General features: G+C 49.0%; 2 protein-coding genes and 1 long non-coding RNA gene across 20 annotated transcripts in view, besides 4 other annotated features; 2 read left to right on the plus strand and 1 right to left on the minus strand.

The window, feature by feature from the left end:
• The window catches only part of IL16 (interleukin 16), a 131347-nt gene extending 124565 nt beyond the window's left edge, over nt 1-6782 (plus strand). For 15 of the 17 annotated variants that reach the window (NR_148035.2, XM_047432447.1, XM_047432448.1 and 12 more), the window contains one exon: nt 1329-6782. Coding sequence is in view for 16 of the 17 variants with exons in the window: in XM_047432447.1 (XP_047288403.1) it covers nt 1329-1522 (194 nt within the window). In the remaining variant the exon portion in view is untranslated. Of the gene's footprint in view, nt 1-791 lie in introns of all 17 variants that reach the window. The other 2 variants (XM_047432451.1, XM_047432452.1) reach the window with 1 other exon arrangement.
• Nucleotides 1278-1455: a silencer, noted in NCBI's record as "fragment chr15:81600895-81601072 (GRCh37/hg19 assembly coordinates)". NCBI's record gives its function as "represses an EF-1alpha promoter that drives an FKBP-Casp9 reporter gene in an ReSE screen in HepG2 liver carcinoma cells {active_cell/tissue: HepG2}" and the evidence as "EXISTENCE:reporter gene assay evidence [ECO:0000049][PMID:32094911]".
• STARD5 (StAR related lipid transfer domain containing 5) lies at nt 1777-16865 on the minus strand. Of its 2 annotated transcripts, NM_181900.3 has the most exons (6): nt 16725-16865; nt 15623-15672; nt 15132-15264; nt 12063-12180; nt 11133-11226; nt 1777-6127 (listed from the first exon to the last, which is right to left on the minus strand). In NM_181900.3, the coding sequence occupies exons 1-6, from the start codon at nt 16821-16823 to the stop codon at nt 5980-5982; spliced, it is 642 nt and encodes a 213-aa protein (NP_871629.1). In that variant the 5' UTR covers nt 16824-16865; the 3' UTR covers nt 1777-5979. The 2 variants fall into 2 exon arrangements, 1 of the variants encoding a protein (NP_871629.1); NR_135013.2 differs by lacking the exon at nt 15623-15672.
• Nucleotides 5609-6808: an enhancer, noted in NCBI's record as "P300/CBP strongly-dependent group 1 enhancer chr15:81605226-81606425 (GRCh37/hg19 assembly coordinates)". NCBI's record gives its function as "activates an origin of replication core promoter dependent on BRD2, BRD4, P300/CBP, MED14 and CDK7 cofactors, with strong dependence on P300/CBP, by STARR-seq in HCT116 cells {active_cell/tissue: HCT116}" and the evidence as "EXISTENCE:reporter gene assay evidence [ECO:0000049][PMID:35650434]".
• Nucleotides 8241-8320: a silencer, noted in NCBI's record as "silent region_6742". NCBI's record gives its function as "represses an Ori minimal core promoter by ATAC-STARR-seq in GM12878 lymphoblastoid cells {active_cell/tissue: GM12878}" and the evidence as "EXISTENCE:reporter gene assay evidence [ECO:0000049][PMID:35858748]".
• Nucleotides 16866-17056: 191 nt separating the features above from the next.
• TMC3-AS1 (TMC3 antisense RNA 1) overlaps nt 17057-17766 on the plus strand; it is a 118744-nt gene continuing 118034 nt past the window's right edge. Inside the window, exon 1 of the long non-coding RNA NR_120365.1 lies at nt 17057-17285. This is a non-coding gene — a long non-coding RNA (TMC3 antisense RNA 1). The remainder of the gene's footprint in view (nt 17286-17766) is intronic.
• Nucleotides 17357-17406: a silencer, noted in NCBI's record as "silent region_6743". NCBI's record gives its function as "represses an Ori minimal core promoter by ATAC-STARR-seq in GM12878 lymphoblastoid cells {active_cell/tissue: GM12878}" and the evidence as "EXISTENCE:reporter gene assay evidence [ECO:0000049][PMID:35858748]".

Consider the following 17766-nt stretch of genomic DNA (forward strand, 5'->3'; position numbering starts at 1 on the left):
CTGCCTGTAATGTGCTGAGTGACCCTTCCCTTCTGGGCCTGAGGCTCTTCATCCATAAAAGGAGGTAAAGAGGTACAGGTGTGTGTCTGAGGGCTCTTAGGACTGAGACCCAAAGGGACTCTTAGCTCTGTCCCTCACCCACTATGAGCTCCTGCTGCTGACTGGTTTCGTTAGAGGAAGTTCTGCTGCGGCTGCAGAAACCCAGAAGGTAGAGTGAGGCTTACATGGCATTCCCCCCAGAATCCATGTTAACCCCAATTCTGGGAAAGATATTTCTAATTTTTGAAGGTCAATTTGGAAGGAGCATTGGGTTCAATGTCAAGAGGACTAGATTCCAGTGTTAGTTCTGCCACATGACCTTGGTAGCATGATCTTGGACAAGTCACTTCACCACCATGGGCCCATTTGCTTAAATGTTTAGGATGAGACTGCCAGCTGCAGGGTGATGTTGGAAGGAGAGATGCAGATTCTGGAGCCAGAAAGTCTGGGTTCCAGCCCAGGGCCCACCACTAGCAGCTATGAAGCTCTGGGCCAGTTACTTGAGTTCTTGGTTTCCTCAGCTGTTAAAAGGAAACACAAATAATACACCCCTCATAGGATTACTGTCATAAATGCAAAACATTAGCACAACGCCTGTTAAAATAATTGCCCAATACACTTTAGCTATATTTTCATTACTATCATTAGTATTATCTTCTACTCTTATCAGGATTTGTGAAGATCACTGTGTCAAATGGATGGGAAATTTTATTTTAATATAAACAGTAAAATAGCATTGTTTTCACTTGCAGCTTTGAAATAGTGGGGGCCATATATGGTTGTTTCCTTTTTTATGTGGACACAGAGGACTTCGTGCCAGAGGCAAGATCCCTGTAAATATTGTTGCACAAAAATCTCACTAGCTCTCTTCCCATACCACCCAATGCTGATGTCCTCACCACATGCGGAGAACAAATGTGAAGGGAGTAGGATATTGGGTCAGTGTCCAAAGCAGGGTCTGGGCAGGACTCAGCTCCCCAGAGTCCTCTATGAACTATGGACGGTGCTCCAGGCAGGCTAAGGCGTGGAGCTGCCTGATATTTCCCTCCCCTGGGGACAGCAAGGGCTATCCCTTTCCAAAGGCCATGGAGAGCTGGAGCCTGGTGCCCTAACCTCTGAGTCACCATCTTAAGAGATGCCTCATTTTAGAACCACCAACAAGCAAGCTCCCAAGGGATGGTGCCCTGTTCTCTACCAAGCTATCCTGGCTCTTTGGAGATCAAGGAGAGGAGGCAACTTTCCTTGTTCCCCATCATCTGTGGAACCCATTACCTTCTCCCTCATTTCAGGAGCAGCCTCAGAACAAAGTGAGACAGTCCAGCCTGGAGATGAAATCTTACAGCTGGGTGGCACTGCCATGCAGGGCCTCACACGGTTTGAAGCCTGGAACATCATCAAGGCACTGCCTGATGGACCTGTCACGATTGTCATCAGGAGAAAAAGCCTCCAGTCCAAGGAAACCACAGCTGCTGGAGACTCCTAGGCAGGACATGCTGAAGCCAAAGCCAATAACACACAGCTAACACACAGCTCCCATAACCGCTGATTCTCAGGGTCTCTGCTGCCGCCCCACCCAGATGGGGGAAAGCACAGGTGGGCTTCCCAGTGGCTGCTGCCCAGGCCCAGACCTTCTAGGACGCCACCCAGCAAAAGGTTGTTCCTAAAATAAGGGCAGAGTCACACGGGGGCAGCTGATACAAATTGCAGACTGTGTAAAAAGAGAGCTTAATGATAATATTGTGGTGCCACAAATAAAATGGATTTATTAGAATTTCATATGACATTCATGCCTGGCTTCGCAAAATGTTTCAAGTACTGTAACTGTGTCATGATTCACCCCCAAACAGTGACATTTATTTTTCTCATGAATCTGCAATGTGGGCAGAGATTGGAATGGGCAGCTCATCTCTGTCCCACTTGGCATCAGCTGGCGTCATGCAAAGTCATGCAAAGGCTGGGACCACGTGAGATCATTCACTCATACATCTGGCCGTTGATGTTGGCTGGGAACTCACCTGGGGCTGCTGGCCTGAATGCTTATAGGTGGCCTCTCCTTGTGGCCTGGGCCTCCTCACAACATGGTGTCTGGATTCCCAGGATGAGCATCCCAGGATCGCAAGAGCCATGTAGAAGCTGCATCTTGTTTATACCTTTGCCTTGGAAGTTGCATGGCATCACCTCCACCATACTCCATCAGTTAGAGCTGACACAAACCTGCCTGGGTTTAAGGGGAGAGGAAATATTGCTGGGGTCATTTATGAAAAATACAGTTTGTCACATGAAACATTTGCAAAATTGTTTTTGGTTGGATTGGAGAAGTAATCCTAGGGAAGGGTGGTGGAGCCAGTAAACAGAGGAGTACAGGTGAAGCACCAAGCTCAAAGCGTGGACAGGTGTGCCGACAGAAGGAACCAGCGTGTATATGAGGGTATCAAATAAAATTGCTACTACTTACCTACCACATGCCAAGCACTGTGCTCAGGGCTAAACGGGCATTGCCTTTAGTGATCACAGCAGCTTCTACGGTGTATGGTTCTGTGCCAATGTATTGATAAGAGGGCACACACTGTGTACAGTAAATGGCTTATCCAGCTGGTGAGTGATGCGGCAGATTGAGTTTTCTTCTGTGATTCGGTGGAGACTATCAGCCCAAGATGCTTTAAGTGCACAACATTACAGGGAATGCCTGAGTGCCTGGCCAAAGGGATATTTGGTTTGGCCATCTCTGGATGCCTGATTGCCAAGCTCAGGACCAGGCAATGTGACTTTGCATCAGCAACAACCAGCATCCCTTGACCAGGCCTGGGCCAGAGTATTGGTCTCCTCTCAGCCCCTGATCCTGTGAAGTAAGGATGTGGGGGAAGACCTGGCAAGGACACAGATGAAACACAAACAATAGTAATTCTCAGGCCATCATCAGTGGAGCCATGTTAATGTAATCTGATGGCTTCTCCAGGGTCCACAGGAAGTGAAGAATCTGTTTCCCAGCAGTGGACTCAAAACCCATCTGGGCTCCTAACCTTCCTGTAAACCCCTTTAGTGGCTTCATTAGAGCAGGCGTTCAGCTCACTGTTCTATTCATCTCAAGGAATAATGGGCTTAGAGCAGTTTCTGTCCTGCTGGTTAACTTGTTTGGCCTATTCCATTCTGGATTTTGTCAAGCAGTAGACAAGCAATTAGACAAGAACTTGGAGGCACCATTTGTATCCACTTTTTAGACTTAATAGAAACATTGAAGATGAACATAATCTACCAACGAAAGACGTGATTCAATTCAACACTCCCTTCCCATGACCCAGGCTGGGCAAGGAGGCCACGTGATGTGGAGGGCACATTCCTTGCCTGCACAAACTCACCATCTGTGCACGCAGTGGCCTTCCCTAAAATCAGGGAATTGTTTTAAGTCTTATCAAGCAGCCAAGGGATGAAAGAGAAGGTGGGTTTTCATCAAGACTGGAAGGTGGGGACAGGGATGAGCATGGAGCTGGCCGTGGGCCTGGGGTACCAAGAGACTCCTTGAGAGACCAGGCAAAGCAAGTGATTGGGACAGAGGTTATCTGTCCCAGGTTATCTGGGCATAGATGCAGGTGAGCCCATGGCCCTCCCAGTACCTCCTGTCTCTGGCCTGTTTTAGAAGGTTCTCTCCTCCCCAAGGAGACACAACAACTCCTAGGGCCACTGAAGATATAACTATTGCCCAGGTTTCTGGTCTCTAGGCTGGGGAAGTCCTCTGGGTAGGAATCAGCAAGAAGATCCTAAAACAAAAGCTCATCCATTTGCGTTCCATGATGCTGGGATTTACACTTGAGGCTTAGCTTTGCTCTGCCAACTTCTTCAGAGCTGACACAGGATGAAGGCAATGCCATCCTCAAACACTGCAGGCATCACAGCTAACAATTGTGAAGTCGTCTTAACTCACCATAAAAAGGAATCCACTCCCAGGCAGCCCTACTTCTTTGCTTTGCCCAGCATTTTACTGATTCATACATTATCTCACTTGTGCCAACACTCAAGAAGCAGGCTACACTGACACTGGTATTCCTGCCTCCATATTTTCTTTAAAAGACAAATCAAAGCAGATATATTAAGTGACTGTTCAAGAGCACACTTGGCCCAAGTGGCAGAGCTTGGACTGGATGCATGTTTTCCAGCTCCTCATCCAGGGCTCTGACCAGTTTAACCTGATGCAGTCACGTGGAGGAGCAGTGCAGGCACAGTATGTCCCATAGGCCCAGTGAGATGCATTCTTGGTTGGCTGGCCTTCCACTTGGCTACACAGGGATGTACAAGGCGATCCCATCTTGATAAGACCACCACCTCAGAGTATGGAGCTCAGAGAGGGCAGGCATGAAGTTTCCTTGGCTGGTGCACCTAGAATTGGCTGAACTCATGAGAAGTTGATATAGAACAGTGCTTGCCACAGAGCGGGGACTCGGTAAGCACTTAATGAATGAATGAATTCTAAGTCAATCCAAGAGTCTGATGATTTCTTGAAAAGGGTGTTAGCTAAAGGATCTTAGGCATGACTGTAGAATTTGTAGTTGCAATAGAACAGAGAAAGAGGAAGCTTTCTGTCTCCTTAACACTGAGCTGTCATGTTTTAAAGCTTGCTCACATCTTGGCACATTTAAGAGACAGTCACCCCAGGACTCAAAAATAGGGAAGTAACAGTAACGCAGGGGAAACGTTTTCTGTTTGGAGGAGCAAAGGCTGAGAACACTGTGAAAACATTTTGCGCGCACAATAGTAACCTGGGTAAATGCAGCGTGAAGGGATTTTAGTCACACGTGGTCTTTCTTACAAGGAAGGTGGTGGGGGTGCAGATGAGGTTGCTAGAGAATGTTAGAGGATCCCTCTCTGGATTGGAGATAGGGAAAGAAAGTTGCACGGCTGCTGAGGCCCCTTCTAGGTGGCAAGGCTGTGCTCCCTGGTTCTGATGATGTGCCTGGGTGGACATGGCCCCTGTGAGTTTGTACAGTCTTGCAGCAGGATCTAGAGGGGGGATTTCCAGCCAGGGCTGCTAGACGGAGGCCTACTCTTCCATCTTTCCTGATGGCAGGATGGCCTGGCCAGGGCCTGGAAGACAGAGACCTCCTGCCTCCGCCTCAGTAAGACGACAAGGAAAGGCAAATGCCCAAGGGAAAGAAAAGGAAGGCTCTTCTCCCCAGAGTTCCCCATGCAGACATGAGTGCGTGCTCAGTTCAGAATCACTTCTGAGAACTCATCCCTAATGCTGCAGATTTGGGCTGGAACAGATTCACACTGTCTGGTTTCACCGAGGACATGAAACTCCACCTTGCGGGGATAAAGAGAGAAAAACAAATTCATCAAATGGAAGACACATTGAAAGTGTTTTTCCTTAATGCTTATCCTGTTTTTAAACCATTATTTCCAAGTTGACACCTTTTTTAAGGAAAAATAAATATTTTGCGGCATTAAAGCCATATACAAGGTCTATATCAGAAAAATATATTTGGGGGGCTGCAGCACAGGACTGAGGGAGCGGTACATGCTTAAAAGGCAACAGGGCCTGGTTTTCAGTGGCGATGATGATTCTCTATGACAGTCAGGGAAACGTGGTCTCTGAGAGTGATGGGCACATAAAGCCTTGGTGCCAGAGTGCATCGCATGGTGTCCAGGCCGAGTCTCTGTCAGATGGTTAGAGGCCTGGGTCTACCCTGCCAGGAGAGGCGTGTTTGGGTAACAGGCAGATGGAGTTTGGAACACATGAATGGCTCATCACACGCCAACCCTGAGTGGGGCAGGAGGCAGGAAGGGTGGGCTGCCGCCTCTGGTTGGCATTCTCAGAGATGCGCAGTCCATCAGCTTGTTCCAAAGAGTGAACACAGGCCTCTGCGTGCTCCCAGGCTCCTTGGTGTCCCAACAGCTGGAGCTCCTCGATGAGTCACGGGAGTTCTTTGCCAAGAAGTAACGATAGCATTACTCATGGAATTGCTTCACTGCTTTCTGAAGGTTGGCATAAAACCGGGTCATGCTGCGGGGGAAGAAGGAGTCCACCACGTTCTGTGGGAGGTAACCGCTGAGGTCGGTATGGAAGAATGTGACCAGGTTGGTCTTGGTGGGTTCCCTGTGAAGGCAACAGCAGAGCTGTGTTATGATCTGCAGCAGAGGTGCTGGGGACGAGCGCCAGGCAGGTGAGCAGAGCCCAGCCCAGTGGAAATGGCCATGATACAGTGATCGCGTCTCATCCCTTGCTGTGCCCTCCACCCAGGAGTCCTCTCTGGACCTGCTGATTTTCAGGATGGAAACCCATCCTGTCGGGGATGCATTCCACAGCCTCTCCCGGCCTCCAGGGAGGAAGAAGTCCCTACTCCCAGCCCAAAAACCCAGTACCCTGCTGCCCGATTCACTCAGCAAATGCTTTCAGAGAACTCACTTTGTGCCAGGCCCTGAGAGGAACGAAGAGATGCTGCCCTTCACTATTTAGGGTCTGCAACCTCCTGGGGGCTCCTGGGACCCTTTCAAGGGGTCTACAAAGTTAACACTATTTTTATAACAACACGAACATGTGATTCGCCTTCTCTCACATGCATACAGTGGGGTTTTCCGGAGGTTACATGATATGTGATATTGCAACAGACTACACGCACAAGCAGGTATGAGTTTCTGTTAAGCCTGGCATGAAAGAGATGGGCAAAAATATAAAAACAATGCCACTCTTTTCACAGTATTTTTTGTTTTAAAAAAATAGTTTTTTAAAATAAAAATGTTATCTATGTTAACATGCAGTGCATTTTTATGTTAAAATATTTTTAACATTTCTCAAATTTACCAGTTACAATTTCAAATACATCAAATAATGATAGCTATAACCCCCAAGAACAAAGGCCCTATGAAGCCCTCAAATATATGTAAGGGTATAATAATGCCTTATGCCAAAATTTTGAGAACTGCTATTTAGAGAACTGGCGAATAATTTGAGCACCTATGAAGGGATTTTGGCCAAGGGGTGGCAGAAGCTCAGAGGACGGCAGGTGGCACAGATGCTGACTGGAAGTCCAGAATCAAAGGGGCACACGATGTGGAGATGGAACACAACTTGGTAGGGACAGGAAGCGATCTTCACTGTGACAAACTTCTCAACGGCCAGGACAACAAAGGTGGTATAGGCTTTGTGGTGTGCATTTGGCATTTTACTTGAATGCAACTGTCCACTCAGCCTCACCAGGAACCCCAGGTAGCACTATGCCTGCCCATCAGATGTTTCCTGACATCATGCAGGCTACAGGTTTGGAACTGGAGACCTTTTAGAATCCCACTCCCCAGGGCCAAGCACGGTGGCTCATGCCTGTAATCCCAGCACCTTTGGGAGGTCGAGGCAGGTGGATCACCTGAGGTCAGGAGTTCGAGACCAATCTGGACAACAAGGGGAAACCCCATCTCTACTAAACATACAAAAGTTAGCCAGGCATAGTGGCAGGTGCCTATAATCCCAGCTACTCAGGAGGCTGAGGCAGGAGAATCGCTTGAACCTGGGAGGCGGAGGTTGCAGTGAGCCGAGATTACACCATTGCACTCCAGCCTGGGTGACAAGAGCAAAACCCCACCTCAAAAAAGAAAAAAAAAAAAAAAAAAAAAAGAATCTCACTCTTCAAGTCATACAGAAGGACAACTGGGGCATGGAACAGGATGGGGCCAGCAGATCCACAAGGTGGGAGAGCATGTGCTCCTCTGGGCTGTGGCTTTTCTCCTCTGCTTGTGCCCTGCTTCCCCAAAGAGGGTGAACTCCAGGGGACAGAGACTTCCTTCCATCTCAAAGTCCTAGCATCATCCGCACTCCACCTTTCCCTCACCCACCAACCCCTGCCCATCCCGCCTCTGCTAGAGCCTTCTCTCTCCTCCCTGCTCCTCCTCCCAATGGGCTTCCTCTGGCCCGCATCACCTCTCAGCAGCATCCTCTTTGGAAACATGAACAGGTGAGTGAGAAATGAGACTCCGTGATCATGTTTCCCTCTGGGTGAGGAATGGGCTTTGTGGTGGGCGGAACGTGTGAGAGGCCATGTGGGATGGGACAAACTCTCTTCGTCACAGTGGCCTTGGTGAGTGGTAGCTCTTGCATGTACACCATTATGTGACAACAACAGAAAGGGCAAAAGGGGGCACAGAGGAATTGTAGGTCACCCAGTCTCCCCTCAGAAAAGGCTGGGATGAAGGCATCCACTACGGTTGCTAGAAGGATTTAATGAGAGTAGGTGTGACGCACTTAGCATCCTTCCTGTGCACAGTGCAAGTGCTCCAGAAATGACACTGTAATGCTGCCTCGACCACAGATACAGGCTCCTCCACCTTAAGAACACCTTTCCCCCGCCCCCCGCGCCACTTGGAGCTCAACCACCACCACCTCTGGCCTCAACACCACCTCACCCCCAATGAGTCCTCTTGCCCTCTTGCTCACAGCCTCTTACTCAAGAGAGCAAGAGGAGAGAGAAGGCCCTAGCAAAGGCGGGATGGGCAGGGGTTGGTGGGTGAGGGAGAGGGTGGAGTGCAGACGATGCTAAGGCTTTGAGATGGAAGGAAGTCCCTGTCCCCTGGAGTTCACCCTCTTTGGGGAAGCAGGGCATCATAGCAGTTAAGACCAAAGTCAGACCATGTCCTGCTCAGGCCTCCCCAGTGGCTTCCCATTTTATTCAGAGGAAAGTCCCCAACAGGCTGCGGCCCCTGCTACCTCATGGGCCGAATGTCCTAGCCTCTCCTCTTGCTAACACAACACCTCCCTCTGTGCTGTTCCTCAAAGGCCCCGCTCTTGCTCCGGCTCCTGCTCCCACTTCTGGGACTTTGCATCTGCTCATCCCCCTGCCAGAATGCTCGCTCCACCAACACGCCCAAGACTCCCTGCATTTGTGCCTTGCTCAAACGTCTTATTAGGGAAACCCCCTAGATAACCCACTCACACCTTTCCCTGGCACCTTTATCTGGGTTTAGTTTTCCCCAAGGCACTTAACGTCTGATACTTACTAGCACATCCACGAGATAGAACTACTTACATTTGTGTTTTGTCTGTCTCCTCCTGCCTTCATTGGAATCTAAGTTCTAAGAGGGCAGACACTCTAGCTGTTTTGAGACATCAATATCTGGGTTAAGAGCCCAGATTCTGGAGCCAGATGGCCAGAATGAGACTGTGGCTCTCTTACTTGCTGGCTGTGTGACCTTGGGTTAGTTACTAAACCTCTCTGTGCACCCACCATTCTTATTTTAAAAATGAGGATCACAACAGTGCCTTACGGTTGTTATAAAAACAGTTAATTTATATGAAGTGCTTACAATAGTGGCTGACACACAGTAATGCTGTATAAATGTTTGCTGCTGCTGCTGCTGTTATTATTGTCTGCTGAATCTAGGGTCCAGAATAGGCCTATCTTCACAGAATAATAAGAGAATAATCATTGTCACAGATTTCAGATCCACAGCCTCATGAGAATAACTGCACACAGCAGGCTCTGGAAGAAAGCTTTACAGAGAACACGTGATGTTTTTAATCAAGTGGAGAGGAGTTGGAAGAGTCAACACTTGAGTTAAAACCTTCATATGGGCAGGGTTTTGTGGGACCCCAACCACCCTCTCAGCAAAATCCATGCAATCGGGCCAGGCGCGGTGACTCACGCCTGTAATCACAGCACTTTGGGAGGCCAAGACGGGGATCATTTGAGGTCAGGAGTTCAAGACCAGCCTGGACAACATGGTGAAACCCCGGCTCTACTAAAAATACAAAAATTAGCCAGGCATGGTGGCAGGCACCTGTAATCCCAGCTACTCGGGAGGCTGAGGCAGGAGAATCGCTTGAGCCTGGGAGGCAGAGGTTGCAGTGAGCCAAGATTGCACCACTGCACTCCGGCCTGGGTGACAGCCAAACTCCGTCTCAAAAAAAAAAAAAAAAAATCCATGTGATACCTTTGCTACCTGGCATGAGGGCGTGATGCTACCCATTATATTGTGCATTCCACCAAAAAGAAGACAGCAATGGGATTCAGCCCCTCAGAAGGAAGGACTCTGCCTCTTATTCTGAAAATTCCTCTCTGTCAGACCCGGCACCACTGAAAGGTGAGTCTTAGCATCTGACTACCAGGTGGGAGAGGACAAGGAAATGAGCCCAGGCCAGGGGATCCAGGGCACCTATATATTGGGAGAACTGAAACTGAGTGCAGGTGTGTATGTCTGTGTGTGGTAGAGCACAGCTGTGCTATTTTCAAACTCAAAATTTTGTTACATCTAAGAAAAGTCTTCACATGATGTCTGAAAAGCCAGCTTAGCAAAGAGGGTAACATAAAGGTGCTAGGTCTGGGCTTGGTATAATCCCACGACACCGAGGCCCACCTCCTGGGACAATGTGGTAGAAGGACAGACCCCTTCCCTCCGGGTGTCTGTATGGAGACTGCAGGGAACACCGGGACACACCTGCAAGGCACAGTTTCTTTTGCTGTCAACATGCATGATTCCCAGGGTAAACAAGGGACCTTCAGGTAATTCATTACACAGAAATTTCCTGGCAAGAGCCTGGCCATGACCTGTGGCAAAATGGGAACAGAGAGTCCCCGGGGTCAATTCTGAGGCTGACTTACAGTGTGGTCTCAGAACTGCCCTTTAGGCCTGAGTTCCGCCACATTCCTTGCCGAGGAGAGATGATCACTGAGTGAAATGTGGGGTGGGGACTGCTATCCTCAAAGCTGCTCCTGCCTGGCGGAGGGTATTCAGGGAGGACTCGGAGCACAGACCCTGCCCTGCCAACCTCCTAGCCTTTGAGTCAGGACACATCACTGAACCTCCCCAAACCTCAGTTTCCTCATTTGCTAAATGGACCATGACATTTGCTTAACCTGGAGGCTGCAGGGAAAATTTCCTGCATCAAAAATAAGAGTAACGCCTCCCCTCAATTCTTTCCCACATGCCAGGTACTCTCAGGAGGTTCTGCTTATGCAGATGTGTGTGAAAGTATTTTGTATCGTCACAATCTAAAGAGCTATAAGGCATTTTTCTTCTTTTGAATCGTAGTCAAAGTGCCCCTTTTCACAGAAGGTCCACAGGGAAGTCACAGTTAGGTCTGAGCCATGTACCTCAATGCAGGAAATTATCCTTACCCTGGAAGAGGTTCACAGAAGCAACCACAAGGATGGTTAAATCCTCTCACAAAACCTGGCTTCGGGGGACATAACGGATGCTCCACATGGGTGGCTGGAAGACAGTGCAGAATCTCGGTGAGTTACAACTTCAGACGGTCAGGTCACTGCCATTGGGGTGCCATAGAGCACACAGACCAGACTACCTGCAGCCCTGGAGTCTGTGAGGGACTCCTGCCTCTTGGCGTGAGTTCCCCCTACTCCCACCCTACTGCCCCTTACACTCACACATACAAATACACTCTCACATGCGTGTACACAAACTCACACACAGACACACACACACTTGCACTCACACACACTCACTCATCCACATTCACACATAAACATGCACATAGCTTTCCCAAGCTTGTCAAGAATATCAGAGAAAAGAACATTCTAGAACACAAGGTTTGGTCATGGGAGGAGGCAGGTGCCTCTCTCAAATCTCAGCCAGGAGAGGCATGGATGCATCCAACTCTCCCGCGTAGAAGAATTGGAGGAATGGCAGGGGCTGTGCAGAGGCAGGAGCCCTGCTCCTCACTGGGCATTAAGGGAGTGGACAGCATCCAAACCCTCAAGAAGACACGGCCATAGATTTTGCACACAAGTTTTTTGCCACCCAACTAACCCACATGTGTACAGCACACACCATGAGCTTCCGCAGGAAAAAAAAAAAAGGGGCACTGGCAAAACCGTGACTTGAACATAGAATTACTGGCATATGGACTGTCTTGCGTCAGACCCCCATGGCCCTGAGTCCCCCCAAACCCAACCAGATGAGGTAGGGGACTCAGAGTGTGAGTTTCTGGTGATTTCTGGTTGCTTGGCTTTCCTTAAGGAACTGTGGGGTGCAGAAGAGAAAGCTCGATATCGCAGGAAGGCATGGCAGCTCCTCCGGGCATCACTCACCGTTGGAACTGATGGTCCCATCCTCATATCTCTTGACTAGCACCAAGTCCACAAAATCTCTGGGAGAAATGAGCTTCATGGCAGCGGAGGGAGTGGAGGTTCTGCTTACACACAGGGTCTGCCAAACCAAAGAAGCATGTAGCTGTGACTGCTGGCCAGACATCTTCTCCCAACTCCCACCCCATCCCTCAAGGTCTGGGAAAGGTACTAGGGCTGACAGTAGGGTGGCACTATAAACAGTTAAGATCCAGAGCGAGTCTTCCCAGGAACTGGGTGTCATGGAAATACACCCAGTTTGTAAGACGAGGGCTGTGACACAGGCTGCCCACAGCTGTCTAGCTGCAGACCAGTGCCATGCTGAGGTCACGTCTCATGTGACCATAAGAGGTACCATTTATTGAGCACCTAGTAAGAGCCTGGCTGGACAAAGCTCTCAGCTGTCCCTTACCTTTAGAAATAGGAATCATTAATCCCTCCTACAGGTGAGGAAACTGACACTTAGAGAGACTAAGGAACTCAGCACGAAGCTCATGGTGGAGATAGGATTTGAACAGGGCCAGAGCTAGGGAGAGGGAAGAGAGGCCACTCTTTTTTAGGGCTGACCCTGCACTTGCTCAGCCTCCTATGTTGTGCCTGGGGCAACTCTTTGGTTTACCCTAGTCCCAGCCCCAGGAGGGAATACCTTGAACCTCACTCAATCTCAGCATATCCCAGTAGTCCACACTCTCATTTTATAAACCAAGGATGCTGGGCTTTCTCCCATTCATCCCATCCTGCAAGAGAGTGGGGCCCAGGCTCTCTCGAGGTCACAGTGGAGAAGTACAGGCCAGGCCTGTGATGGAACAGTCCTGGAGAGAAGTCTCGGGGTAGGTGAGAGGGGCTGGTAAAGGTCTCCATCTCTGTGTCTTTCCCCTCAGGTATTAAGACTTGGGGCATCGTGTGTTGCTGCAGAACTTTTCATCAGGGACACTTTCGGCCTCAGGAAATTAATCTTCGAATGGCATGAGATGCATGGGGGCACTTGAGCACTTTGCAATGGGTGCAATGAGAATAAATTTCCAGGAAACTACTCCGTGTTTCCTTCATCCCCTAATGACCTGCCTGGGAACAGGCTGCACCTGCACACAGGGTCTCCTTTCCCACTTGAAGAAAAGCACAGCATATGCCCATTCATCTAGAATCATCCTATCATGAATTGTCCCAGTGTGTAAAATCCTCCAGGGTGGCAAAGGGACAATTAGGAGTGCGGGCGGCAATATGTAATCAAGGCAGTACACACTGGTATTAGAATTTCATGTTTTTCCCTTTCTTAAGCATATTCCAAAACTTGGTGTTAAAAACTAGGCAATTTTGCCATTTCTAAATTCTGGTATTTTGTAACAGTAATGGCAGAAGTGATGAAAATTTTGAAAAAAAAATCATACTGCTTCCACCCCTGATGACTGCCTCCAAGTGCATCATTCCTGAGGTACAGTGTCTGGAAACTAAGATGAGGAGGACTTTGGAAAGAAATTTTGAAGACAGCAGCAGCACATGTCATAAATGCGACAAACTCATGGCATGGCCCTGTATCCTATCCATCCATCCACCTATCATCGATCATCTATCTATTTTAGAATTAGGATATTTGAGAGTTGCCAAAAGCATGCTGAGAAATGTCAGTCTGCAAGGAAGAGCCCTTTCTCCACATTTTCATTGTTTCACTAAATGATAAAGAGCTACCACTTGGCAATTCTCCACTTTTTTGTAAACCTGAGCTCACCAGTAGCCTGTGCTTCCCCTCTACTTTGCAGTTGTCTATTGAAAAGTTTGTATCTTTTCATGGGCTTATGAGTTAATTAGAAAAAAGAGAGCTCCCATTCATCTCATCTAAAGACGCAAAATGTTTTACTTGTCACGTTTAATATTTATCAGAATTTATAATATAATCATGTTATTTTAATGAATTACACTCGTACCTCAATCCAATTTTTTAAAAAACAATTAGTCTTGGCCAGGCGCAGTGGCTTACACCTGTAATCCCAGCACTTTGGGGGGTCGAGGTGGGGGGATCATGAGGTCAAGAGATCGAGACCATCCCAGCCAATATGGTGAAACTCCGTCTCTACCAAAAATACAAAAATTAGCTGGGCATGGTGGCGTGCCCCTGTAGTCCCAGCTACTTAGGAGGCTGAGGCAGGAGAATCACTTGAACCCAGGAGGCAGAGGCTGCAGTGAGCCAAGATCACGCCACTGTACTCCAGCCTAGCGACAGAGTGAGATTCCGTCTCAAAAAAAAAAAAAATTAGTCTCATGATTACATGAAATATATGATTAAAAAAACTTCTATTTCTATGCATATTTATGATGCAAGATGATGACTTCCAAGAATAAACATGTATTGTATTAGGATAAAATTCAGAGGGCTATGTGGAATGGAAATTTGAGTTCCAGGAAAACAGCTATATACCATTTCTGATGATTTAAAAAACCTTGTTCATGTATTTTAAGTAAAAATTTATATATTATTTAGACACATCTAAAAGAATGATGTCATTGCTTTGTTCAAAACTGAGATTTACATGTCAAAAATGACATGCTTTGCAACTTATGAAAATTTAGTTGTAAACTAAATGTTATTAATAGACATCAACTGGATGTGTGAGGATGATGCATAATTTCTCAAAAATCTGTTGGATGCATGTAAGCAAAAAGCGTGAAGACCCTCATACCAGAGGGTAACTGGGGTCATGCAGGTACGTGGAGCTGCTACTGGCCCAGGCTTCAGGGAAGTGGGTGCCAGGGGCTGAGGATCCTGTGTTGCCTAGTGCAGCAGCCCCACACAAGGAACAGGTATGCTCCCCGCAGAGACTCTGTTTGGGGCTTCTCTCCCTCTCTGAGTCATGAGGTTTCCCACCGGGAAACTGGGCTGAGGCAGGCCTCCAATGCTGCAAGCAGTGGGCAGCCTGTGCTTGCAGGACACACCCCCTTAACAAAAGGTATCACGGACCCCTTCCAGAAGAAATGGGAGGGGGTTACTATAGCCTGGCCCAGACACTATCTAGAGATAACATGCTTGGAAAGACTTACGTCAGTGATGCTTTGGATAATTTCAAAACCGGTCACATTCTCATCCCACTTCACTCGTAGGCCTCCAACAGCTGGCTTCACACAGTCCCACACCTCCTCTAGTGTCCCATATACAATGCCTTCTCCTCGGTACCTGGAGCACGAAAAGGAATTTGACCCCAACGCATCAATCAAACTTGTTATCTTGAGATTGTATCTAAGGACTAGAAGGTGGACCATGCCATGTCTGTCACTACTCTTTAGGACAGACTTGCAGAGAAGGGGCTGAAAGTCACTAGCCCCGCCTCCCTTCAGGCCTGCAGAAATGGACAGTAAGCTTTCACAAGAATACAGTTTGCTGGAAATGATTTCATTAAAAACAGTAAGGCTTTTCTGGAGGACAAGTGATCACAGGTTATAGGGTTGATTTGAATATTTTAGGAGGCAGGCCCATAAAGATACCAGGAAGGGTGCGGCACCTCTGGTAATCTTTGAACGAGGCATGCACTTACAGGTTCCCTGGAAACTCCACAGATGGCCTCCAGGAAACTGAAACTCCATTCTGTCAAAAGGCACAGAACCACAGAATTTTAGAGCTAGAAGGGCTCTGGTCACCTGGCTTAATCCCCTGTTCTACAGAAGAGGGGTAAGAGGCCTCAAGAGATACGACTCTCCAAGGCTGTGCAACCCATACGTGGAAAAGCTGGGACTAGTCTTGGGCAAAGCTGTCCCCACAGCAGAATGTGATGAAGAAAAAGATCTTAACTGGCTGACTCCAAGAGCCGTGGGTGGTTTTTAAAATTATCTTAAAAGCCACCAGGCATTCTGTTTCCTTGAGCAACCCAGGGCTACTTAATGAAAAGTCAGAAGGGTCAAGCAAAACTACTCCCATGCTACCCTCTGGCAACGACAAAGAGAGGGGTTCATGCTGTAATGAAAAGTCAGAAGGGTCAAGCAAAACTACTCCCATGCTACCCTCTGGCAACGACAAAGAGAGGGGTTCATGCTGTAATGAAAAGTCAGAAGGGTCAAGCAAAACTACTCCCATGTTACCCTCTGGCAACGACAAAGAGAGGGGTTCATGCTGTAATGAAAAGTCAGAAGGGTCAAGCAAAACTACTCCCATGCTACCCTCTGGCAACGACAAAGAGAGGGGTTCATGCTGTAATGAACACAGAAGAAAACCTTAGTATGCATCAGATGCTGGATCAGACTTTACTGGATTTAAACAACATGTAAAAACCTCCTTAGCTGCGACCACATTCTTTCATTTTGTTTTGTTTTTAAACACCTGCTTACCCCTTAAATGCAATTTATTTACTTTTACCACTGTCACAGAAACATCCAGTCCTAAACAGCATTCAACAGCCAGGTGACCTTGGGCAAGTCACTGAGTGAAAGGAACAGATACTTACCACCTGAAGTCATTGTGAGCATAACAGGCCCAATCTTTTTTTTAAAGAAGAAAACAATCCCCATTGGAATCCCTCTCAATCGGGTCCAGGGGATTGGGGAGCAGAAAACAACGGGGAGAGGAGGCGCTTGGGGGCTTCTGGGGACCCGGGCTCCACGAAGCCGTCTCCGCGACCCCTTCCCGCCCAGCTCCTCACTCACGCCTTCCCGGCAAATCTTCCAGCCTGCTGTGTCCCGCCGGTACTGGAGCATCTTCTCGGCCACAGCCTCGCTCATCTGGGCTGCCAGCGCCGGGTCCATTGCGTCGGGAGCTGCGCTTAGCTGCGGGGTCGCGGGTGTTATGAGCGGCGGCGCTGGATCCCGGGTGCCTGGAGGCTGGAGCTCTGGGAGGAGCTCGTAGCCCCGCCTCTTTCCGCGCCCCCGCTCCCGAATTGGTCCAGGCCCTCAGACGGATCCCGCCTCCCGGAGATTGGCAGGACAAGGAGACCGCGGGGCCAGGCTCTCCAGTTAGCGTCAGCGCCTGGGCGGGTCCCGGACGCCTTGGGCGGGCCGGGTAAGGTCCAGCCGTATCCGCCTCCTTCATGTCCCGCTGTGGGAGGGGCTCTGGAGCGCCGGGACTGTGAGATGGCCAATGACGGTCTGACCCGTTGGGCCGGGCCAGGTCGCGGACAACGTCGACCGTTTGTTTAAGAAGCGTGGACTCTTGTCCTGAGTGCACCGAGGCTTTCAGCCTGCGGGACAGTGGTGCGATTTGCATTAGAGGTAATATGCTAGGGCGGCTGCTGCAGGGTGGGAGAGGAAATGCGCGTGGAGACTGGGCGCGTGCAATGGTGGGAGAGGTGTGTGGCAGGGGTGCGGGGAGTGGGGGTGAAGAGAAGAGGACCCATCGTAGAGTGTTTAGGAGATGGAAGGTGAAGGTCTCTGCCCCCGATTGTGGATGTTCAGAAGGAGAAAGCATCATGACTCCCAGCCTTGGCCACCTGGCAGCTTACCTGAGATGGAGAAGAGATAGGGTGAGTTCAGTTCTGGGCATATTTAGTTGGAGGTGCCTGAAGGGCCTTTAGTGCAGGTGTCCAGGAGTCAATGCAATGCGCTGACATCTGCGAGAGGCCCGGCTTTATTAGAGATATGGGAGTTCTCTGCTTCCAGCTGCCCTGGAGCTGCGGGGAGTGAGCCAGGGTCGCATCTTCACAGCGTGAATGGCAAGGACAGCCTCGGTTTCCCCTCTTCTGCGCTATCACCA

This window comes from Homo sapiens, chromosome 15, assembly GCF_000001405.40.
Source record: "Homo sapiens chromosome 15, GRCh38.p14 Primary Assembly".
Lineage (NCBI taxonomy): Eukaryota > Metazoa > Chordata > Mammalia > Primates > Hominidae > Homo > Homo sapiens.

Bases quoted from the DNA above. Each gene is read 5' to 3' on its own strand.
- STARD5 (NM_181900.3), bottom strand. From the start codon at position 16,823: ATGGACCCGGCGCTGGCAGCCCAGATGAGCGAGGCTGTGGCCGAGAAG. The intron at 15,265-15,622 runs GTAAGTGCATGC...TTCGTGCTCCAG, and splicing joins GTGGAGTTTCCAGGGAACCT to GTACCGAGGAGAAGGCATTG. The intron at 6,128-11,132 runs GTAAGGATAATT...TTGCCTTCACAG, and splicing joins TTCTGTGAACCTCTTCCAGG to GGAACCCACCAAGACCAACC.